The following is a 25,854-nucleotide window of genomic DNA, read 5'->3' on the forward strand; positions in this document are numbered from 1 at the left end:
CTCATGTTGTCTGTGATGCTTCCAAGAGAGATAACAGAACTTCAACAAATAAGTTATATCCTGCAACCTTGCCTGAAAGAAATTTTGAAGACACCACACACTTAATTAAAATTACTACAAAAACTCAAATTTGTGAAGCACGTTGTGCTTTAAAAAATGCCTTCACATATCAATTTTCATTTGATTCTGATAAACTCTGTGAAGGACGAAAAACAGTCATTTTTACTGCCACTTCCCAGTGATACTACTGAGGCCCAAGGAAGCTAAGCAATTTACCAAAATCAGCTCACATATAAATGAATGCCATTAGCCTGCTGATTGAAACTGCCAATGCAGTGTCTTCTCCAATTTCTGTGCATTGCTCATGTATTGAATGGAAGTTCATCCACAATGGTCTTGTGATAGCAGGGGCTCAAACAACTTATCTGTACTACATTCCAAAGTTAAAGATGAGGATTAATTAACAGAGATGCTGGATACAGCAACTTGCCTTACAAATTTAGTGTTCACTGTTTTGTTTTTCAATTCACAAACGTCCACATAGGCATTAGTGTTGAGGAGGTGACTTACGGCAGCCACAGTACAATTCTGCAGATAACTAGAGTTATAGGGCAATCAAAGCAGATACATAAAAATCAATTTTGTTAGTCTTTTCAAAATACCAGCTCCTCAATTCCTGGACTTTTTGATGGGTTTTTCATGTCTCTATCTCCTTCAGTTCTGCGCTGATCATAGTTATTTCTTGTCTTCTTCTAGCTTTTGAATTTGCTTGCTCTCACTTCTCTAGTTCTTTTAATTTTGATGTTAGGGTGTTGATATTAGATATTTCCTGCTTTCTCCTGTTGGCATTTAGTGCTATAAATTTCCCTCTAAACACTGCTTTAGCTGTGTCTCAGAGATTCTGGTATGTTGTGTATTTGTTCTCATTGGTTTCAAAGAACTTATTTATTTCTGCCCTAATTTTGTTATTCAACCAATAGTCAGTCATTCAGGAGCAGGTTGTTCAGTTTCCATGTAGTTGTGTGGTTTTGAGTGAGTTTTTTAACCCTGAGTTCTAACTTGATTGCGCTGTGGTCTGAGAGACTGTTTGTTATGATTTCCATTAGTTTGCATTTGCTGAGGAGTGTTTTACTTCCAATTATGTGGTCAGTTTTAGAGTAAGTGCAATGTGGTGTTGAGAAGAATGTATATTCTGTTGATTTGGGGTGGAAAGTTCTGTAAATGTCTGTTATATCTGATAACAAGTTCTGAAATTGAGGCAGTAATTAAGAGCCTACCAACCAAAAAAAAGCTCAAGACTAGACAGATTCATAGCTGAATTCTACCAGAGGTACAAAAAGGAGCTGGTGACATTCCTTCAGAAACTATTCCAGACAATAGAAAAAGAGGGACTCCTTCCTAACTCATTTTATGAGGCCAGCATCATCCTGATACCAAAACCTGGCAGAGAAACAACAACAACAAAAATTTCAGGCCAATATCCTTAATGAACATTGAAGTGAATATCCTCAATACAATATTGGCAAACCGAATCCAGCATCAGAAAGCCTATCCACCATGATCAAGTCGGTGTCATCCCTGGGATGCAAGGCTAGTTCAACATATGCAAACCAATAAACATAATCCATCACATAAACAGAACCAATGACAAAAACCACATGATTATCTCAATAGATGCAGAAAATGCCTTTGATAAAATTCAACACCCCTTTATGCTAAAAACTCTCAATAAACTATTTAGTGATAGAACATTTCTCAAAATAATAAAACTATTTATGACAAACTCACAGCCAATATCATACTGAATAGGCAAAAGCTAGAACCATTCCCTTTGAAAATGGGCACAAGACAAGGATGCCCTTTCTCACCACTCCTATTCAACATAGTATTGGAAGTTCGGGCCAGAGCAATCAAGCAAAAGAAAGAAATAAAGGGCATTCAAATAGGAAGAGAGGACCTCAAATTGTCTCTGTTTGCAGATGACATAATTGTGTATTTAGAAAACCCCATGGTCTCAGCCCAAAATCTCCTTAAGCTGATAAACAACTTCAGCAAAGTCTCAGGATACAAAATCAATGTGCAAAAATCACAAGCATTCCAATACACCAATAATAGACAAACAGAGAGCCAAATCATGAGTGAACTTCCATTCACAATTGCTACAAAGAGAATAAAATACCTAAGAATCCAACTTACAGGGATGTGAAGGACCTCTTCAAGAACTACAAACCATGGTTCAAGGAAATCAGAGAGGACACAAACAAATGGAAAAATATTCCATGCTCATGAATGGAAGAATCAATATCGTGAAAATGGCCATACTGCCCAAAGTAGTTTGTAGATTCAATGCTATTCCCATCAAGCTACCACTGACTTTCTTCACAGAATTAGAAAAAACTACTTTAAATTTCATATGGAACCAAAAAATAGCCCGTATAGCCAAGACAATCCTAAGCAAAAAGGACAAAACTGGAGGCATCACGTTACCTGAATTCAAACTATACTACAAGTTTTCAGTAACCAAAACAGCATGGTATTTGTACCAAAACAGGTATATAGACTAATGGAACAGAACAGAGGCCTCAGAAATAACGCTACACAATTAAAACCATCTGATCTTTGACAAATCTGACAGAAATGAGCAATGGGGAAAGGATTCCCTATTTTAAAAATGTGTTGGGAAAACTGGTTAGCCATATGCAGAAAAATGAAATTGGACCCCTTTTTTACACCTTATACAAAAATTAACTCAAGATGGATTAAAGACTTAAATGTAAGACCTAAAACCATAAAAACCCTAGAAGAAAACCTAGGCAATACCATTCAAGACATAGGCATGGGCAAAGACTTCATTACTAAAACACCAAAAGTAATGGAACAGAAGCCAGAATTAACCAATGGGGTCTAATTAAACTAAAGAGCTTCTGCACAGCAAAAGAAACTATCATTAGAGTGAACAGGCAACCTACAGAATGGGAGAAAATTTTTGCAATCTATCCATCTGACAAAGGGCTAATATCCAGGATCTACAAGGAACTTAAATTTACAAGAGAAAAACCCCATCAATAAGTGGGTGATATGAATAGACACTTCCTAAAAGAAGACATTTATGTGGTCAACAGACAGACGAAAAAAAGCTCATCATCACTGGTTATTAGAGAAATGCAAATCAAACCACAATGAGATAACATCTCACACCAGTTACAATGGCAATCATTAAAAAGTCAGGAAACAACAGATGCTGGAGAGGATGTGGAGAAATAGGAATGCTTTTACACTGTCAGTGGGAGTGTAAATTAGTTCAACCATTGTGGAAGACAGTGCAGTGATTCCTCAAGGATCTAGAACCAGAAATACCATTTGACCCAGCAATCCCATTACTGGGTATATACCCAAAGGATTATAAATCATTCTACTATAAAGACACAAGCAAATGCATGTTTATTGCAGCACTTTTCAAAATAGCAAAGACTTGGAACCAACCCAAATGCCCATCAATGATAGACTGGATAAAGGAAATGTGGCACATATACACCTTGGAATACTATGCAGCTATAAAAGAGGATGAATTCTTGTCTTTTGCAGGGACATGGATGAAGCTGGAAACCATCATTCTTAGCAAACTAACACAGGAACAGAAAACCAAACACTGCATGATCTCACTCATAAGTGGGAGTTGAACAATGAGAACACATGGACACAGGGAGGGGAACATCACACACTGGGCCTCTTAGGTGGGTGGGGGGCTAGGGGAGGGATAACATTAGGAGAAATACCTAATGTAGATGACAGGTTGATGGGTGCAGCAAACCACCATGGCACATGTATACCTATGTAACAAACCTGCACATTCTCCACACGTATCTCAGAACTTAAAGTATAATTAAAAAAAAATCAAGATTTGCCCCAAGCAAAAATAAGCATGTAATTATTTTCCTCATAAAAGAATTCACTAGAGAAGTGAGTCACTGCGCAAACATAGTAGAAAGTTGTACACCCTTGTTATAGAAAGATATAGCAAACGCTGATTGCACTTTGGACAACTCACTCACAAACACTGCTGGCATTTTAAACAGTGCATTTCATCCTGCTTAGATCTGTGTTACCCAAATATGAGCAGCTCTAATTGTCCTTAATCAAACAATTTCCAGGTCTTTGGATTGTATCCTTTGAGGCAACAAGATACTTGTGAAATGGTAAAAGTAAACTAAACAGCATCACTCACAGCATCAACATATTGAGACTAAATTTTCTCAGGTATTATCAATGATAGGAAAATGACAGTGTGATTCCTTCCAGGGTAGTACTGGTTTGACAGCATCACTTAGAAATTTTGCAACTGCCTGAAGGTCACACCAACTGTGCTTCTTACTAGTTGTTCATATTAGGAGAATATCTTAAGTGCTCTAAACTTTGTTTTTCTAATCTACATAGTTCTTCCCCACATAATGTGATGAATAAAAGAAGCAATGTAAGGAGGTATTTAACGGAGTACCAGCAAAATAAGTTACATGAATGCAAAAAAACTTAGCCATTACTACCAACTACATCTACTGCCAGACTCATGTTGAAAAGAAAACATATTTTAACACATATTAAAACTTACCTATGTGAATATATGTCTATCATATATATACTATACATACAACATATATATGCATATACTAAGTGTGTGTGTGTACAGCACAATAAATTTTTTATACTTATTTATAGATAAAATTTTTATGTGAGGAAAGGTGAACAAATTTGCCAAAAGTTGTACTGCTTGTTAGAATTAGACCTGAAGTCCATCACTGGATATGATTGATTCTAAAACTATCTATACCTTTTTATAGGATGCAATTTATCTGAACCTATGGTGATCACATAAAATTAACTATTTTCTACTTAAAAATGAAATAATTAACTTGTATCTCCTTGGGGTTGTAAGGCCTTCATAATATAGCCAAATCCTTTAAAATTCATGTGTTGGGGGGACATCTGACATGTCCTTTCACGTGGGATTGAAGGAAAGGAGCCACTGGCCACAGATATTGTACATATGGATCTTTTTATGAACATAAGACTTTATTTTGCTGTTTCCCTAATACATAGTCATGCAGTTCATATTTGAACATTTTTGGTAATCTGGTAAGCCTATTTAAAAGTTTTTCTTATAGTGACCTAAAATATACTTTTCTCTGATTTCCGTTCCTTCCTTTTCTTCTGCTGTTTATAACTCTGGGAAGTCTGGTGCTGACACAAGCTGGAGCACCAAGAGCAGAGTCTTAAAGAAAAGACAAATAGGAAAGGGAATAACTGTCCTTACTATAGACACAAAGGTGAATAAATAGGACTACACAAACCTCAAGACCTAGATCATATGCTCCATACTCAATACGTTTAAATTTTGTTGGTGAAACACAAGAGACAAATGTGGAGAACGAATTGTATTCAAAGCCAACTGCAACATCTCAAACATAACTAGTCTATTAGAAGGTGGTGCATGGTAGACAGGGTTCAACCCCCAGAGGAGGAAGTCTTTAAAAGGGAGATGGTTGGTAAGGCACCCTTGAGAGGGTTCAGAGCAGGGGCCCAGTGCCAGTGGGAGAATGAAGTCAAAATCGGAGCTCAAATGCATGATGCCTACACGGTGAACAATTAGAAAGGCTATAGCTTAGATGACTAGTAGAGTTTGTTAACTCATTAACTCATCAAAAATGTTTATGGAGTATCTGATATGCTTTAGGCAGCACCCTGATAAGTGGTAGAGACACAATAGAGAAGAAGACAGATCAGATCTTTAGCCTTCAGATTCACTGACTATCAAGCCTATGGCATTGAGGCTCAAGATTCAATTGTCAGGATTATATTAATCTACCCTATTTTTATACGTATGTTATGTTGCAGCATCATAGCTCTCAAAAATATACTGAAATAAGGCAAAAAAAATTGTAGAACTGCATCACCCTTTCTTGAAGAATAACATTGACACATCTGTTCAAATACATTAACATGCCCATTTTGTCTTACTCATTATGATGTGAACAAGGTGTTCCCATGTCATTGTAAATACCCACACCATTTCCTCCCAAGATAGAATGAATCCTTGTGGTTGTGCATGAATGAGCGTTGGCAAGTGGCAAATGTTCTTTTGACTTAGTTTTCCCTAGTGATCTACACTTGACATTCAGTGAAACTCAGATTTGGCATAGATTATCACTTTCATAATGAAATAAGGAGGGGTAGGGAGAAAGGGAGAAGTGAGTCAGTCATTTTATAATGCATTAAAATGTGAGCACAGCAATTCCAAATTAATCACCATGTTGATGACTGCAGCTGGGAGATAATGCAGACTAATGGGTGTTTATACAATTTTAAAGCTATATAGCACTTTGACCTACTTTTTTTTTACTTTAGAACGACTAAACTGATTAATTTATCAATGTTAATCCTTCCTCTTTGTGTAAATGTAGTTGACAGCCCTTTGGGAGAGGTGTTGGAGATGCTAACTGTCTACAATTCAATCCACCTATTGATGTGTTGATGGAATGCTAGGCTTAGGAAGGGTACTCATAACCCCTGTTATGATGTGTAAAAAAATCCAGGAAGGTACAGAAGTACTTTTGAAGTCTTGATCAAATGAAGTAAGGGGAGCTATAACTTCAAAACACATTCCATTTAAATCCAACAAGGTCTAGGTTAATATTTTTACTAAGAAGTGTTGTCTACATACTATAAAATTTTGGTTGACCGTTCCCTAGTAGATGACAACTTCACATGGCTATTTCCTGAATAAACTCAGAGAAGGTGATTCTAGAGAAAGCTTACCAGGAGAAATAGATGTGTTTTAGAAGTGGATACTTTCTGGAAATGTTTATGTTTAAAAATACTTTTCCCCAAATTCTCTGTTTTGTATGATCTTTGATTTTGCTGACTTTGGTCAGTCCATTTTCAGGGATGTAAACTGTGCGATTGATGAAGGATTATTGTATGGAACTTACAGACACTATACTTTCTTTTTCACAGAAGAAGTACATTGTTTTTTCTCTAAACTTTAGGGGAAAATACCTAAAGGACCTAAAGACTAAAGAACAAAATTAAAAAACACAAGTAGCTATTGCCAGTTTTGATCTCTATATTTGACATAAAAAAGGAAATAAATTGATATATTTTAAAAATGCATTTGAGACACTAGAATGAAATATCAAAAAGGGACAGTTTCTGAAAAAGGCTGAAAAATATTCCTTCTGGGTTTCCTAACCCTAAATCCTTCAGAATAGAGAGATTTTATAAAAAGAGTAAGTAAAGGATGTCAGGGAGTAAATAAATATGGTTGTGTCTTCATATTTGAAAGTGCAGAAGAGAAAATACTTTACCACTTCTTTCCTTAGATTATCTATCTCATCAGGGATGGGATGGGGCATTATACAACTGCTTCTCTTCAAAAATGTTTTAAGTTTCCTCTGTCCTTATATTTCAGAAAATTCAATAGCTCAATGCGCACTAATATTTTGGCCTCACCTTTTCATGGCCCTATGAATTATCTAGATATTTGCAAGGTGAATTTATATATGAGGCAAAGGATGTGCCTTTTTTATTACCACAAATTCTCAGTTACAAATGGACATAAAAATACTTAATATCTGGGCTCTGGTATGCAAAATTTATTTCACTGGCAATATTTATGTTTAAATTGCTAGCAATCACTGCTAAATTTGCATGCTGGGATTCTGAAACATACCTGCAATAACAATCTGTCTGGTACCTTAATTCCTAAGAATTACAAGCCATAGTTGTTGAAGAATATCCTCACATTTTGCAGAAGTGTAATTACCACATACCCATTGGGATTATAGATTCACAGCTTCCTTACTCTTAACATGGCTTTTTCCTTTGACATCCAATAATCAAGGGTAAAAGGCAAATTCATCTGTTTTGTGCTTAGATCACTAAAAGTTAACTCACTCTCATTTAGGTTTATGTGCTCTTATTCTAGTGGATCTTGGAGGGAACCTTTAATCTACTGAATCTCCTTCCCATGAAGCTCAATAAATCCTACCTCAATTCACCAAAACTGGACAAAGTGCTGTTTTAACTGGTGTCCCAGTGTATCAGCTGGCTCTTACACTGCTATAAAGAACTACCTGAGACTGAGTAATTTATGAAGCAAAGAGGTTAAATTGACTCACAGTTTTATAGGCTTTACAGGAAGCATGGTTGGGGAAGCTTCAGGAAACTTAACAATCACAGCAGGAGAGCAAAGGGGAAGCAAGCACTGTCTTCACATGGTGCAGCAGGAGAGAGAAAGAAAAAGGGGAAGTGACACATACTTTTAAACAATCAGATCTCCTGAGAACTCACTCACTATCGTGGGAACAGCAGCAAGGAAATCTGTCCCCATGATCCAATCACCTCCCACTAGTTCCCTTCCCCAACATTAGGGATTACAGTTCAACATGAGATTTGGGTGGGGACACAGAGCCAAGCCATATCATTCTGCCCCTGGCCCCTCCCAAATCTCATGTCCTTCTCACATTTCAAAACCAATCATGCCTTCCCAACAGTCTGCCAGAATCTTAACTAATTCCAGCATTAACTCAAAAGTCCAAGTCCAAAGTCTTTTCTGAAACAATGCAACTCCCTTCTGCCTATGAGCCTGTATAATCAAAATCAAGTTAGTTACTGCCAAGATACAATGGGGGTATAGGCATTGGGTACATGCTACCATTCCAAAAAGGAGAAATTGGCCAAAACAAAGGGGTTACAGGCCCCATGTGAGTCCAAAACCCAGCAGGGCAGTCATTAAATCTTAAAGCTCCAAAATAATCTCCGACTCCATGTCTCACATTCAGATCATGCTGATGCAAGGAGTGAGCTCCCAAGACTCCACCTCTGTGTCTCTGCAGGGTACAGGCCTTGCAGCTACTTTCACAGGCTGGTGTTAAGTGCCTGTGGCTTTTCCAGGCACATGGTACAAGCTATCAGTGAATCTACCATTCTGGGGTCTGGAGGATGGTGGCCCTCTTCTCAGAGCTCCACTAGGCAGTGCCCTAGTGAGGACTCTGTGTTGGGGCTCCAACCCCACATTTCCCCTCTGCAGTCCCTTAGTAGAAGTTCTCCATGAGGGCTCCACCCCTGTGCAGATTTCTGCCTGGACATCCAGGCATTTCTATAAATCCTCTGAAATCTAGGAATAGGCCCCCAAAACTCAACTCTCGCCTTCTGCACACCTACAGGCCCAAAACCATGTGGAAGCTGCCAAGGCTTGGGGCTTGCACCCTCTGAAGCAGTGGCCTGAGCTATACCTTGGCCCATTTTAGCCAAGATACATTCTTTCACCAGATACGCTAAATCATCTCCCTAAAGTTCAAAGTTTCACAGATCTCTAGAGCAGAGGCAGAATGCCACCAGTCTCTTTGCTAAAGCATAGCAAAAGTGACCGTTGCTCCAGTTCCCAATAAGTTCCTCATCTCCATCTAAGACCTCCTCAGCTGGGACTTCACTGTCCACATCACTATCAGCATTTTGATCACAAGCATTCAACAAGTCTCTAGGAAGTTCCAAACTTCCCCTCATTTTCCCATCTTCTTCTGATCCCTCCAAACTGTTCCAACCTCTGCCCATTACCCAATTCCAAAGTTGCTTCAACATTTTCAGAGATCTTTATAGCAATGCCCCACTTACCTGGTACCAATTCTCTGTATTAATCCATTCTGACACTGCAAAAAAAAAAAAAAAAAAAAAAAAACTACATGAGACTGAGTAATTTGTGAAGAAAAGATGTTTAATCTTCCTGTACAGCAGTTCCACAGCTATACAGAAAAGATGGCTGGGGAGGCCTCAGAAAACTTACAATCATGGCAGAAGTGTGAAGGGGAAGCAAGCACCTTCTTCACATGGTGGAGTGGGAGAGAGAGAGTGAAAGGGGAAGTGGTATGCAATTATAAACAACCAGTTCTCATGAGACTCACTCACTGTCATGAGAACAGCAAGGGAGAAATCCACCTCCATGACCAATCCCCACCAGGCCACCCCACACTGCAACATTAAGGATTACAGCTCAACATGAGATTTGGGTGGAGAAAAAGAGCCAAACCATATCACCCAGCTGCTGGAGATATTTTTCCCAAAAGAAAGCAGGTAGACTGTCTATTTCAGTCTTAGATGCTTCACATCATTCTCCTACTAGAAGACCTAAGCTGACACTGCTGGTTGTGGCAAAGGATAATGTGAAACATACTCTATTCATTGACAGAAGAAGAACCTGGGGCACCCACTAATTTTAGAAGTCTCAGGGAATCAAATCTTTCAGCTGTTGACATATTTGATCATATACTGTATCCAAGATCTTCCAGGGCTTTCCTCAGAAATATTACGTTTATTCAGTTACATCTTTCTTAAAGATGGTGGAGGACATTGTATTTTCTGCCCAAGGCCCCATTGCCCTGGTGATCAGCAATTCCATGTACTACCGCCCCTTTGATTTATTGATTTACTCCAGGAATAACTGGGCTACTGCTGTCTGCTTCTGCTTTTTCTTTCTTAGTGTCCTGCCTTTCTGCCCTCCAACCATTCTGGGGCAATAAGAAAGGGTTAGTCTTTAATCTGCCTCCTTTAGGATCCATCAGGATAAATTTCCCTTTTTCCCTCAATAGCCGAATGTTCCTAATAAGTCTTTGACTCTTTTACCATCATGTACCAGGCTTAACATTAGTGCACTCTGACAGAGGAGTGCTGTGTTAGCCTTGTTTCCTCTCCTCTCACATAAGCTATTTAATCATTTTTACTATCCAGCTCACATGCAAAAAATGTCTCAGACCTAGATCAAAGAAATCAGAGATGAATTCAAAGACACAAGACTCATAGATATTTTCTTAATTACTCAACAGTGATACCTACCAAATTATACATCTGAGCAAGTTTCCCTGCTATTCTTCAATAGAATTCACTCAAGACAGTGGTAATACTCAGCAACCTCATATGGGGTGAGAAGTACACTACATCTGAGAATCCCTGAACAATCAAATCTTCTCCTTTTTATTTTTATTTATTTTTATTTATTTTATTTATTTTTTATTATACTTTCAGTTCTAGGGTACATGTGCACAATGTGCAGGTTTGTTACATATGTATACATGTGCCATGTTGGTGTGCTGCACCCATTAACTCATCATTTACATTAGGTATAACTCCTAATGCTATCCCTTCCCCCTCCCCCCACCCCACGACAGGCCCTGGGGTGTGATGTTCCCCTTCCTGTGTCCATGTGTTCTCTTTGTTCAATTCCCACCTATGAGTGAGAATATGCGGTGTTTGGTTTTCTGTTCTTGTGATAGTTTACTGAGAATGATGGTTTCCAGCTTCATCCATGTCCCTACAAAGGACATGAACTCATCATTTTTTATGGCTGCATAGTATTCCATGGTGTATATGTGCCACATTTTCTTAATCCAGTCTATCATTGATGGACATTTGGGTTGGTTCCAAGTCGTTGCTATTGTGAATAGTGCTGCAATAAACATACTTGTGCATGTGTCTTTATAGCAGCATGATTTATAATCCTTTGGGTATATACCCAGTAATAGGATGGCTGGGTCAAATGGTATTTCTAGTTCTAGATCCTCGAGGAATTGCCACACTGTCTTCCACAATGGTTGAACTAGTTTACAGTCCCACCAACAGTGTAAGTGTTCCTATTTCTCCACATCCTCTCCAGCATCTGTTGTTTCCTGACTTTTTAATGATCGCCATTCTAACTGGTGTGAGATGGTATCTCACTGTGGTTTTGATTTGCATTTCTTTGATGACAAGTGATGATGAGCATTTTTTTATAAATGGTACTGGGAAAACTGGATAGCCATATGTAGAAAGCTGAAACTGGATCCCTTCCTTACACCTTATACAAAAATTAATTCAAGATGGATTAAAGACTTACATGTTAGACCTAAAACCATAAAAACCCTAGAAGAAAACCTAGGCAATACCATTCAAGACATAGGCATGGATAAGGAGTTCATGTCTAAAACACCAAAAGCAATGGCAACAAAAGCCAAAATTGATAGATGGGATCTAATTAAACTAAAGAGCTTCTGCACAGCAAAAGGAACTACCATCAGATTGAACAGGCAACCTACAGAATGGGAGAAAATTTTTGCAATCTACTCATCTGACAAAGGGCTAATATCCAGAATCTACAAAAAACTCAAACAAACTTGCAAGAAAAAAACAAACAACAACCCCATCAAAATGTGGGCAAAGGATATGAACAGACATTTCTCAAAAGAAGACATTTATGCAGCCAACAGACACATGAAAATCTCCTTTTTAAAAGGCCTTGTCAGAACCAAATTATGCTGCTATGTAAGGCAATAATTTTGCAACTCAACAAAGGCATATCCTATGTGCCCAAAGACCAGGTTCCAAGATTTGAAATTCTTCCGTGCCAGCAATTTTGCAATCTCAATTTATCTGAGACTCTTGTCATAAAACCTGGACATTTCTCATTTATGTTCTTTTAAGCTCTTCCCTGGGGCAGTCCTGGCCACAGAGTACCATAGGAATAATGGACATATAGATGGGATTTAACACTACAGAAGCAGGTGAAGTTGCTTGGAGTAAAGATGTTGAGTGAGGAGAGCAGATATCCCAGGACTGAGATACAAATTATCCTAATATTTGAAGGTTGAGGAGAAGGAACAAGGAGAGTCTCTTAAGGAAGACTGACAAAGAGTGGTCAGAGAAGTAGTAATAGAATCAGAAATGTTTGAAAACAAAGAAACAGACAACTGTATTGAATGTCTCTGAAAGTTCAAGTAAAAACAGCAATTAAAAAGTATCTATTGGAGGCCAGTGTGGTGGCTCATGCCTGTAATCCCAGCACTTTGGGAAGCCGAGGCGGGAGGATCACCTGATGTCAGGAGTTCAAGACCAGCCTGGCCAACATGGAAACTCCGTCTCTACTAAAAATACAAAAAGTAGCTGGGTGTGGTGGTGCATGCCTGGAATCCCACCTACTCAGGAGGCTGAGGCAGGAGAATTGCTTGAATCCGGAAGGCAGAGGTTGCAGTGAGCTGAGATTGTGCCACTGCACTCCCGCCTGGGCGACAAAGTGAGACTCCATCGCAAAAACAAACAAACAAACCAAAAAAAAAAAAAAAAAAAAAAACAAAAACCCAAAAAACTATCTATTGTGTTTGTCAGTACCAGAATGGAAAACAAAAACAAAGTAGAATAGGCTTGGAGAGGAAATGGGCTGAAAGAAGTAGAGATAGTGTACATAGAAAAGATTTTCAAGAAGCTTGCTCATAAAGGAGAGTTAAAACAGCAAGACCAAGAATGGTGGCTGGGCATGTGAGTCAGAACATAGTCATAACTATTATTGTTATAAATATAATGCTGTAATTTCAGCATTGTGCTAAGCATTTCACATGTTTTAGTCTGTGACACATACTATAATTATCTTCAATTTACCTATAAGGAAATTGAGGCACAGACACTGAATAATATCCCTCAGGCCACCCTGCTGAGATTTCAATGCAGCAGTCCAGTCCAGTGCTTGCATTCCTAATCACTGCACTTCTCTGTTTCACCCTGTGATGATGGGCATATTTGGAAGGTCCAGAGTTTCTGCTATGGCTTTGCTACATGTGTTCTATGTGACTTCTCAAAACTCAACTTTTATAAGCTTGTCATCTGTATGTACAACACGTCTATTCCTGGATGTGTGGGGAAGAAAAAAGACTATAAAAACATTACTGTTACACAACACCTCCATTGGTTATGAATATGTTTGCAACTTAGAAACATTTCATCCATTCTTCAAAAGAAACAAATAGACATTTCAAGAATTTTGAAGACCATTCTTATTTCTATCCCTCAGAAGGCAAGGAAAAATATACACTCACATAAAGAAAATGATTCTAATAGAGATAGAGTGTTCCATGGGGATCTGGTTGAAAACACTTAAAGTCAAACATGATAAAGCTCCTAAAAAGAACCTTGAGAAACAACTGCTCTGACAGAGAGGGGGAAGATGACACATTCGGGTACCCTGGGCTGGAGTGATGTTATCCTGAGAGGGAGTGTGATGGAAAGATGGATAACATGGAGTCTTCTTAAAGGACATTGAGAATGCTGCTGGAGGGAAGCATCATCTCAGGGGTCCACAGTGGTGGGACCTCAAGTCCTTTTTCTGGGATTCTAAAAGCATTCATGTCCCTCTGCTGTAGAAATATTGTTCTAGACTAGAGAAGTTACTCTACATCAGTTTTAAATGAGTGCTATTTTCCTCTCTTGCTACTGCTTTAGCACATCCTTGTTACTTGCAAATAATAGGATGTGCTGCTTTTATCTAATTTTTAGAATAGAATAGGACTTCATGATGCCAACCATTTTTCTAACTTTTGCAGTTATACAGTCACAGAAGTATTGCCTCCAATCCTAGCTCTTTAGTCTTGTAGACCTGCAGATTAAAGACACAACTTCACAACATGACATGCTGTGAAACCTAGATATTTGATAAATGAATATGCATTCTTTATAATATGGCCTTTGCTTGCATTTTCACCTCCTGCCATTTGCTACTTCCTTCCAGGGACATACCTGCAAATAGACACATATACTAGCAGTTTCTATGACAGGTTTGTCTCTCTGATTTGTGTGTGTTGCCTCCTTTATGTATTGTTCCCTGTTGCTTGCTGTCGTAGTCCATTCAGGCTTCTATAACAGAGTTGCAGACACTATATGTCTTACAAACAACAGAAATTTAGCTCTCACAGTTCTGGAGGGTGAGAATTCCAAGACCCAGGAGCCAGAAGATACGGTGTCTGGTGAGGGCCCAGTTGCTGTTTTAAAGAGAGCTGTCTTCTAACTGTGTCTACACACGGCAGGAAGTGTGAGAAAAAAGGAGCTCTTCGAGGTTTTTTTTTTTTTTGAGACGGAATATCGCTCTGTCGCCCAAGCTGGAGCGCAGTGGCGCGATCTCGGCTCACTGCAAGCTTCGCCTCCCGGGTTCACGCCATTCTTCCTGGTAACCTAGTCACCTCCCAAGGGCCTCACCTTCTAATGCCTTCACACTGGGGGTTAGGATTTCAAAATATGGATTTTGAGCTGACACAGACATTCAGACGATAGTATCTGCTGACTAACTTTTCATTCATTTGATAAAATACAGTTCACATAACTCAGCTTCCCGAAGTCCCTTGGGGATCTCTCTCAGTGAAGCTCTACATGTTTCTTTCATAGTATTTTCTGTTGAAGACAGGGATCATGCCACATTCATCATTGTGGCACGAAGTCCAAGGCAAAGTGTCCAGGATGTAATGAGTAATGAATACATATTTGCCCTATAACCAGCTTATACATGATGAACCCATGAATAGAACTCAAGGTCTCTAGGTGTCTACCGGTCCTATAATGTGCAATGTACCAATCAGGGAACAGGGATACTTTAGTCAGCATCCGGATGGGAAAGATGGCACTGTAAATGGAGTAATTGAGAAGAGTGGCAAAGGGAATTTTTTACAAAGGTGTAGCCAAGGTTAAGGGAAACCATCAAGGGGTGATAAACATGCAGAGCAGTTACAGCAGAGACTGTAGGGCCGATGTGAGGACCGTTTACCAAACCTGCAGAGAGCCACATACAAGAGCTCCCTGAGAGGAACTGTGGCCTAGGAGGTGGGAAAACAACATGCTGCCAGTCAGGGAGGGAAGCCAAGAGGTCATCAGCTCACTTGCATCTCCTACTGTTCCTTTGTTCTCCTACAGGTGCTTCCCATTGGTCAATCCCAGCAGGAAACCAGTGGGTAAAGCATCCAGTTGTTGTTGTCTATAAAATTCAGACTCCTGAGGCTCTGAACATGGTGAAGCCAGATAGACATGGAATTAGAGGAGCAAACAAATATATATAGCACAAAGAAAGGGACTGAACTCACTTCTTCAGCAAATGAAGGCTGATGGAGGGATTCTGGAGACCAGGGTAAGATAAACTGGAAAAGGTTCAAAAACAGCAAGTAGGCCAGGCATGGTGGCTCACACCTGTAATCCCATTACTTTGGGAGGCTGAGGCTGGCAGATCACTTGAGGTCAGGAGTTTGAGACCAGCCTGGCCAACATGGCAAAACTCTGTCTCTACTAAAATAACAAACAAACAAACAAACAAAAAGCCAGGAATGGTGGCAAGTGCCTGTAATCCCAGCTACTTAGGAGGCTGAGGCACAAGAATTGCTTGAACCCTGGAGATGGAGATTGCAGTGAGCCAAGATGGCACCATTGCACTCTAGCTTGGGTGATGGAGTGAGACTGTCTCAAAAAAACAGCAAGCAGAATACAGACAGTCCTAATAAAGCGTCAAGAGTAAAAAGCTGAGAAGAATAGTAGAAACCAGATGTTATGCAATGCAACATGAACCTAGCATTGAACAGGCGATTTTTAATAAGAAATAGAGAATAGAGCCAAGAGAAGTTCTCTAAGACAATAGAGTTGGTTGTAGGGACTTTTTATAAAATACCTGCAAGTAAATAGGTTTATTTACAGGTGAAAGGAGAGCTGATGAGTCTGCAGAGCTGGTTTTGACAGCTACAAAAAGGTCTAAGATATGATTTCTAACTTTAGGAACTCTCTAAATTGCTAAGGCAAACAGTGCCAGATGTTAATTCAAGAGTGCAGTCCACATCTTAGCATCTCAGGTCTCTGAGGACGCTCCTGTAATTGCCAATCCTTATCTCTGAAAACCATTTTTGAAACATTTCCAGCAACAATACCCTGACATTCTTTGGCACCACAGGCATCATGCTTGCAAAGTGGATATTTATGCAATTATATTTTATGCTATCCAAAAAGAACTTCCAGTAAGTTGGTTGTTGTGGATTTATTTACGTTTTAATCAAATCGCTACACATGAGGCACGACTCGACATTTTATTTTCAGTCACTGTCAGCTCAATCAAGGAAAAGGTCATTTGCACAGGTAATGGTTACTCTAGAAACAAGTTTCCCCCCTTTCCCTCTGCACCACCATTTCTAGGCTTGTTGCTCTCCTATAGTACGGCAGCTCCAGAATTTTTTAATGGCAAGAGACAGAAACCCAACTCAGACTAATGGAAGCAGGAAAGGAAACTGGGAAACACAGGACTGCAGTGGGATTGGAATGCATCTTGATGCGGGGCCTGAAGGGCTCTGCCTTCTCTAAGTTCCTGTTGTCTTTGTTTGGCTCTTTTCTGTAGTCCCTCATCCCATAATGGGAATGATGATCACCTGCAATTCCAAACTCTCATCCTCCCACTTTACCAGTTCCAGGGATAAATACAGTGTCCCTTGCTGGCTGTGACAAAATTTCCTGTGATTGTCCCCAAGTTGCTCCATCTTGGTCTTGTGCTACACTTGGTCTTGTGCTCAGTCTTGGTTTTGTGTGGCAGGAGTAGGGGTAAGACAAGGTGTGAGTAAAGATTCCATTAACTCATGGAATTGCTCTCTTTCTCTGTGTCTCTTTTTCTCTCTTTTCCATCTATCTACCTACCTGTTCATCTATCTAAACATTGATATGTCTTTGAATGGAATACTAGTATTCTGAATTATGTTGACTTTGCATTGAACTGAATGGCTGAATGGAAGAAAGGAAAATAAATGAAAAGACACAAAGGGCAAAGGTATGCCATTACTCTACCTTCATCCTGCCCAGGTAACATGATACATCACAATTACTTGGAGCATTCAATCTTACAAGTCCTAGGCCTCAATCTTGTTCTTCTACCCAGTGGCCTAAGATCGGTGGGATCTTGGATATAAATATCATAAGGCACCAATATCCATCTTGTTTAATTGTAAAATTCCTCCTACACTTCTTTTTTCCTTCTGTTCTCTCTCACCTCCCAGTTTCACAGTTAACTTAGGCATGCAAACTTGTTCTTGCCAAGTGATTCAGCCCAGGGAAGCTGAAGTATGTCAATGCTGCAAAAATAAATTTATTTGCAGTTTCATATCTCATCTTAAAAATTTATCTAAATGTTTCAATCTATTCCACATTATAGTGTGTTTATTTTAATATAAAATAATGTGTCCATCTGGCCTTTAAGTAAAACTGGTAGTAGAGAAAGACAGGCCGTGCTTTCCTTTGCTTTGAACCTCCCAGGCACACTGGTCTGAATATCTCAATCCAATAAACAAGGCTGTGTTTAGTGGTTCACACAGAAACCAAACAAAGGTAAGAACAAGAAGATATAATCACTGGCTAAAAATCAATCCTATTGACTCATGATCATTTTCATATTCACTGAAATTTCACTTTCCCTGAGTGTCTTGACAATTACTGGAATTTCCCAAATGAGAGACTAGCAATTACAATTTTCCAAGAAGACACTTCCATGAGGTATTTCAAATTGTTATAATGTCCATGGTGATCTTATTATCTATTTATTTTTTATCAAGTTGACATTTTTGAGTTGAAAAAGGCTTGTGTTTATTATTTAAAGCAAGATATTTTTGTTAAAGTGAGACACTATACCTGGCAATTTGACAGTGCAGTGCCATTAGCCAATTTGAGAACATAAGGTTGTTCAGGCTGCCAGAATAAGTGCATGTGTGTTCTTGTACACTGCTGTCTTGCCATCATTACTGTGCTGCCTGGGAGGAATGCCTTTGACCAGTGTTCTCTACTACCCCTGGTTCTGTGTACATGGAAGGTCCTCCTTGTCCTTTATTCTCCTTGGCCACAGCTGGTGCGGATGTTAGAGACCGTGTCTTCTTCTGGAGCTGTAATAGCCTTTGAAGCCTAGCTCTTTTTCTTCAAAGGTTTGGCACCTAAGGATTGTTTTAGATCTCATGAAATCAAAGGATTTTTTAGACCAGAGTTGTGGTTTCTTTAGCAATGTAATCTCTTCAAAAATTAGCAGGCTTCGGGCTGGGCACAGTGGCTGGTGCCTGTAATCCCAGCACTTTGGGAGGCCGAGGCGGGTGGATCACCTAAGGTCAGGAGTTCGAGACCAGCTTGGCCAACATGGTGAAACCCCGTCTCTACTAAAAATACAAAAATTAGCCAGGCATGGTGGTGGGTGCCTGTAATCCCAGCTACTCGGGAGGCTGAGGCAGGAGAATCGCTTAAAACTGGGAGGCAGAGGTTGCAGTGAGCCGAGATCACGCCATTGCACTCCAGCGTGGGTGACAGAGTGAGACTCTCTCTCTCAAAAAAAAAAAAGTAGGTTTGGGATCCTAAATTTTGGCTCCATGTACCAGCAACCACTCACAAAGTTCTTGGATAGGAAGAGTTCTCAGACCCTGTGTGTTGCATGCATGCTCAGCGCCTCCTGCCCCTCCCCACTTTCATCCCCTCTTTCTCAAGTCAGTGGCTATTTCTTTGAGACTCTCTGGAACTGTAGGTGGGAAGTCTACATTGTTCATCCAATCTTTGCCCCAAATCACTTTATTTAACTGAGAGGTTTTATTAGACCTTTTCTTCAATGTCTTGTAATATCTCAGTTTTAACTATTTGCCATCTTCTAATGGAGCAAAACTAACTCCAATTTCAGTACTCTCTCAATTGCCTTTCAGCTCTGCTTGGCTTATTCTTATCTATTTTTCTCTGATATTTATCAGAGAAATATATTTCTTCTATATTTATCTTTGATAAATATATATTTATTTATATATATGTATATATTTTATAAATGTGTATATATACACATACATATTTGTGTGTGTTATATATATACACACAAATATATATATTTGTATTAACCTTAACTAGGAAATCATATATATATACACACACACACACACACACACAAAGTTAATACAAGTATATATATTTGTATATATTTATATATATATTAAAATATATATATATTTTAATTTTAGCCCACATGGCTCTAAAGCCAAAGTAATGTATATCTTCATGACTCATTATGCACCATTTTATTTTAGCTCATTTAAATTTTACATGATTTATTTTAGAGTTTGAGCTTACCCAATGGGAAGAGACATTAATGAAAGTTCTCAACATGGGACAAATCTGGTTCTTGCCTAAGGAAAATTTTTCCTAAATGCCATAGAGGAATGATTGGATCACTGACTGAAACATTTGCCAGGAAGTACATCTGTATAAGAAAATATTGTCATTCATTCACAAATTAATTTATTCATTCACCAAAATTTAATAAGTGCTTAGTATGTGCCAGACACTGAACTAAGCAAAAAAAAAAAGCTATAAATAATTCATTCTTCCTATAGGAGTAGGAACAGATTGTATGCTTGTGGAGTCAAATTTATTATTATCCATATTTTTATGAATAAAAAATTGGAGTTTGATAAGTTACCTTAGATGCTCTACATCCTCCATTTAGAAAAGGAAATTATAGAGTCAATACAGGCATCCAGGGCTATCTCATGACAGCAGATACACTTTCAACTCCTTCGCTAAATCAGTGAGGTTGCAGGTAGGAACAGCTGATAGACTCAAAATGAGTAAGTCATAGCAAGTTTAAAAGAGGGACTAGGCCGAGCACGGTGGTTGATGCCTGTAACCCCAGCACTTTGGGAGGCCGAGGTGGGTGGATCACCTGAGGTCAGGAGTTCGAGACCATCCTGGCCAACATGGTGGAACCCCGTCTCTACTAAAAATACAAAAATTAGCCGGGCATGGTGACTGGTGCCTATAATCCCAGCTACTTGGGAGGCTAAGGCAGGAGAATCACTTGAATCCGGGAGGCAGAGGTTGCAGTGAGCCGAGATCACGGCACTGCGTACCAGCCTGGGTGACAGAGCAAGATGCCATCTCAAAAAAAAACGGGGGGTGGGGGGGTGGGGAGGGTGCTAGAAACAAAAACATGGATGGACAAAGTATAAAGAAACACAGAGATAATGTAGTGCACTAGAGCGCTAGAGCTGGTAAAAATTGAGCACCATTAACACTTATAGGCCTGAAAAGAAAAGACAGGGGGCAATTACTGGAAGCCAGAGAACGGATGCTACCTGATGGAAAATAAGAACTTTGGTCACGGGTACAGCCAGCCCACTGTGACCCCACTGGGAGGGAGTCAGAAAATAAACATTCAAAACGTCCCTTCCTTTAGTCTCCTGCCATTGTTCCTCATTGGCCAAAACAAGTCAGAACCTGATAGCAAGGGAGTCTATTGATGAGTTAATTTTTATAGTTCAGCCTCCTGAATAACAGAAGAGAGCAGGAAAAGGAGAAAGGTGAAGTTGAGGGGAACATCAGAAGATATACAGGGTAAAAAGTGGAGTGGAAAGTCTCTGAGATGGTAAGGAAGACAGCTAGCATGACCACCTTAAGTAAGTGGTAAACTCACCTAATTCCACAGCATTTTTTTGAAAACGATATTTATCAAGATTTTACAATGGATCCAACTTAATTTTCACAGAAACAACACTTTTATGATAAATATAACTTTGCTTTATTAATATTTAATTATTTTATTATAGGCATACCTGAACTGGCATAAAGAGGTTCGGGATCATACATATTTGACCCTTAGCACATGCCTCAATGAGCGATAGCTGAAGCCTGCAGGCATACCACAGGTGTGGTATCCCGCGATGTCAGTATCCAGTGCGATGGTCATGGTGGTTTACCAAATGATGACGCATGTTGGTGAAACCAGCAAATCCGATTTAAAGGGCTGGGAAGAGTGCTTCTAGTGGTGTTTTGTGTGGAGCACCTGGCTGTTTTTGCTTGGTACAAAGCAAAAACAGTTAAGTAGAGAAACATTTATCTGGCCAGATTACTCAGTCATTTTTCCTAATTTTTTCTTCCTCTAGTATCAACAGCCTTCAGCTTCTTATCGGAGCTGTCACTGGTGGTTAATATCTGTGTGGTCCTCATGTCTGAACATTTCACAGGTCAGCACCTCCTCTACTGCATGCTCAGTCCATTTTAACAGATCAGTTTTGCAGGCAACATAAATGATTAATGGATCTTGCGGGGTAATCTAGCAGCTTGTTTAATGTTTCTGACCTAGGTGCTTTAAAACTCATTACTGGTACCTATTGAAGCTTTTCTAATGGATTTTAAAATAGATTTCACTACTGTTAACATGTTTCTGCTCTTATGAGGTCTTCATTTTCATGTACCTTGTTTATATGTTGTTAGTTGTAATTGTTAGTCACTATCAAAAGACTTACATTTTTAAAAAAGTCAGTCTACATTCAGGGTGACAATTTATCATGTTCCACTTAGAAAAGAACGACATTTAGTGCAAAGTTACGCGCCTAGGCAATGGGCATTTGGCACAAGTACACACATTTTAAAAGTAGAATTTCTGTTTTTATTATTTAAAGCCAGGTCTACACTCAGATAGTGCCCTGGCCTATTCCTTACAACGGACATTGATTTTTCTCGTTCAACACGTTCTTCCACGCGGCTGTGATGAGGCTGCAAACCCGTTGTTCTGCCTCTCTTTTTTATGGGCAGGGACATGCTCTAGGCTGGCCCATCAGATAAACTATTTTCACCAATCACTGTGATTGATTCAAGAATGAGCATGTTACTCAAGCACATGGCCAATCGTTTTCTTGGAAGGTTTAATATATGGATGACAGAAGAGATTATGTATCTTTCTTCCTCTGGGATTACAAACAATAAAGGTGATGGAAACTGGAGCTGTCATAGACACTCTTCCTTCATACACAGTGGAAGCCATCTGCACTAGGAGAGTGTAGGAATAACTCAGAAAGATAGGCTCGTAATTTAGTGCATAAAGAAAAAAAAACTTTATTACCATTCCTTTCTCTGATGGATAGTATAAAATCTAGAATCTTCTGCATTCCTTTATGACTTTTTTTTTTTTTTTTTTTCCTGAGACAGAGTCTCACTCTGTCACCTGGGCTGTAGTGCAGTGGTCCGATCTCAGCTCACTGCAACCTCCGCCTCCTGGGTTCAAGTGATTGTCCTGCCTCAGACTCCAGAGTAGCTGGGATTACAGGTGCCTGCCACTAAGCCCAGCTAACTTTTTGTATTTTCATTAGAGACAGGGTTTCACCATGTTGGCCAGGCTGGTCTTGAACTCCTAACCTCGTGATTCGCTCACGTCGGCCTCCCAAAGTGCTGGGATTACAGGCATGAGCCACCGCGCCTGGCCCTTGTATAACTCTTTTATGCTAGTTTAGACTTCAGCCTTTGGGGCTTTAGACATCTCTTAGCTTAAGAAGGCCAGGAAACCCTGACGGGCATTCATCCAAGACTGCATTCTGTGGGGAAGAAAAACTGAGGTTAACAAAAGAAGAACAAATTAATGTAAATTATAGGGAAGAAAACAAAAAAGAATTAGAAACAAAGAAAATTAAAAGCCATAAGCAATAAGCTTCTAAATCTAGATTGAAAACCAAATTACAATCAATCTTGGTGATTGCCTAAATAATTAAAATAGATGAAAAACAAACAGTAACTTTTTTTAAGACTTATAAAGTCATATGCTTTTAAATTTCAGAATTCCAAAAGGACCGATGATATCAACAGCCAAGAAATGTTATAAAGAGTCTTTCTGGGAAATTGGATGCACTAACAAAAAAATCTTAAGTGAGTAAATGGAATTGTCCACTGAAAGGAGACAATTTTATGATACACTCATATTCTTAGCTGTGGAGTAACTTTGAAAATACATTTGTGGTAAGAATTTCTAAGAACGTTATCGCTAAAGATGACAAAGTATGGCAACGTTAATGTGATACCCCACTACATAGTAAAGACAAATCTTTCTCTATATTCATACTTTTGCTATATTCATACCACACTGCATTTAAGGAAATTTCATTACTAAGAGAAGGCAAGTTAAACAGAGAAGATCCAGAAAGAAATAAATGCATAGGGTTAGACCCCAGGAAAAGTGAGTGACTGCCTTATACATCCAAAGTTATTAGAAAATAAAGCATTTCACAGAAAGATGTCTAGATTGATGAAAATTTCCCTATTCAGTGACCAAATTCTTAAATGGTTTTGGAGGAAAATTTAATAAACTGAATTACATTGCACTCACTTCTTCAAAATACTATATCAAATAGAAAAACATTTTTGTTTGGTGACATGATTATTATGAATATGAATTATTGTATCATATTATAAAATAAGAAAGCCCTGAGGACTTACAAAGCATTTGGAGTTTTTCACTGATCCCAGGTATCTACACTTTCAGAATTTTGCATCTGAATTTTAATATTCTTTTTTTCTTTTTGCTTTCTTCCTGTTGAGTTGCCATTTATCTCTTCCTGTTATTGCTTGAATGCCTCAATGGCTGGTTACAACATTTTGGTGCCGTTATTTGCCAAGAGGCATTGTGTATAAGCTGGAGTCGATAAGTAAAAAGTTAAAGCCACCTGTGGTAAAGTTTGTCGGCTTTCTAAGCAGTGCTATTTGCCAGCTATTTTAGATCCTCAGAAAATTTAATTTTCTCTCTCTCTCTCGTTAGCTCTTAGTCGTTTTTGTGTATCACACTTTGCCCTGCATACAGAGGCAGCCTCATGTTTAATGTCAAAGTATATACTATTTCATATGTGCGTATATATAATACATTTGCATACATGCTATACACATATAGATCTACAGTGTAAGGTACAAAGTATATAGTATGAAGAAGAAAAAGAGTTGTTAGTTTACGATTTAATAATAGAAAGTTATACCTACATTTATATACTTGATTATGTAACAAGGAGACTGAGAATGAGAAAAATAAAGAAAAAGAAAATTTCAATATAGAAATTTCAGATGAATACAGTACTAATATTTAAATTCTGAAATTTCAACTATAAAAGAATTTCAATGTAAAGATTTAAAATTACTTTGAAAAATGTTGGCCCATATTATATTCTATAGTACTTCCAAATTACATGGACTAAGATGTTTCAGCCATAAAAATTTAGTGCCTTGGAGCAAACAGATGACTAACACAATTTACGATATTTAGAGAATTTCCTTTAGATAATAATCGTGACTCACTTGAAGCCAGAAACCAGCCTTGTTTATCTTCATCTCTTTTGCCACATCTAGCCTACCATTGCACATAGAAAGAAGATACTCAAAAAAGGCTATTTGAAAGAATGACTGTCATCCTTGGACAAACTCAAAACCTATAGCTGGCTGCCTGGCTAAACAGATGAATATATGCGTGGACATATAAATAGGTATATTAGGAAAAAATTCTTCATTAGCTATTCAATCAATTATAAACAAAAACACTTCATTCCTTCCAAAGATATTTATAGAGTCATTAAATAAATAGGTCAATAAGAAAGTCTATGCCCTGAAGAGGATTACAGTTCCTTTGAAGAACGCAATATACATTACGATATCTAAGGCTTGTTTATTTCTGTAATATTCGGCATTACAGCTACTTAAAATGTCAAATAAAACTGAAATGTATAAAATTTTGTAATATTATTTTTTACATTTATTACTTCCTTTCATTCAGAATAGTTGGTGTAGTTTGTAAACTCTAAAGTACAGTTTCACTTCTAATTATTTTCTGCTTTAAAAGACCAAAACCCTCATAAAAAAGATAAAATATGACTTGGCAAAGGTTATAAAGTCAATCTTTGATAAATCTAAAATTAAATATATTTCAGTGTTTTACATTCAGAATTAAACTTCTATTCTGCTCATTAATTCATGTATTCATTCACCAAGTGCACTGATAACTCCAGTGCATTTTTAAATGATGGCAAATTTGTGCCTATGTTCTCTACATTAACTCTGTACATTCTGATTTTGTGAATAACTGGATTCAAAATCTTCATTCTGTTATTCCAAGCTATTAGATATCTGATTACCACAAAAAGTCCAATGATCAAGTGGTTCTATTTTTAAAACGACTAAGGCAAGAAGTGCAAAAGTTTATGTGGTTAGGCTATATAGTCTGATAAACTGTTATCAAAA

The 25,854-nt window shown here is 38.5% G+C and overlaps 2 annotated features.

The window, feature by feature from the left end:
- Window positions 5,995-6,289: a silencer, noted in NCBI's record as "tiled region #7316; HepG2 Repressive non-DNase unmatched - State 24:Quies". NCBI's record gives its function as "represses a minimal TATA promoter and a strong SV40 promoter by Sharpr-MPRA in HepG2 cells {active_cell/tissue: HepG2}" and the evidence as "EXISTENCE:reporter gene assay evidence [ECO:0000049][PMID:27701403]".
- Window positions 15,477-16,015: an enhancer, noted in NCBI's record as "NANOG hESC enhancer chr8:120136171-120136709 (GRCh37/hg19 assembly coordinates)". NCBI's record gives its function as "activates a minimal SCP1, AML or CMV promoter by ChIP-STARR-seq in primed H9 embryonic stem cells {active_cell/tissue: H9 hESC(primed)}" and the evidence as "EXISTENCE:reporter gene assay evidence [ECO:0000049][PMID:30033119]".

The sequence above is a fragment of the Homo sapiens genome, chromosome 8 (assembly GCF_000001405.40).
Source record: "Homo sapiens chromosome 8, GRCh38.p14 Primary Assembly".
NCBI lineage: Eukaryota > Metazoa > Chordata > Mammalia > Primates > Hominidae > Homo > Homo sapiens.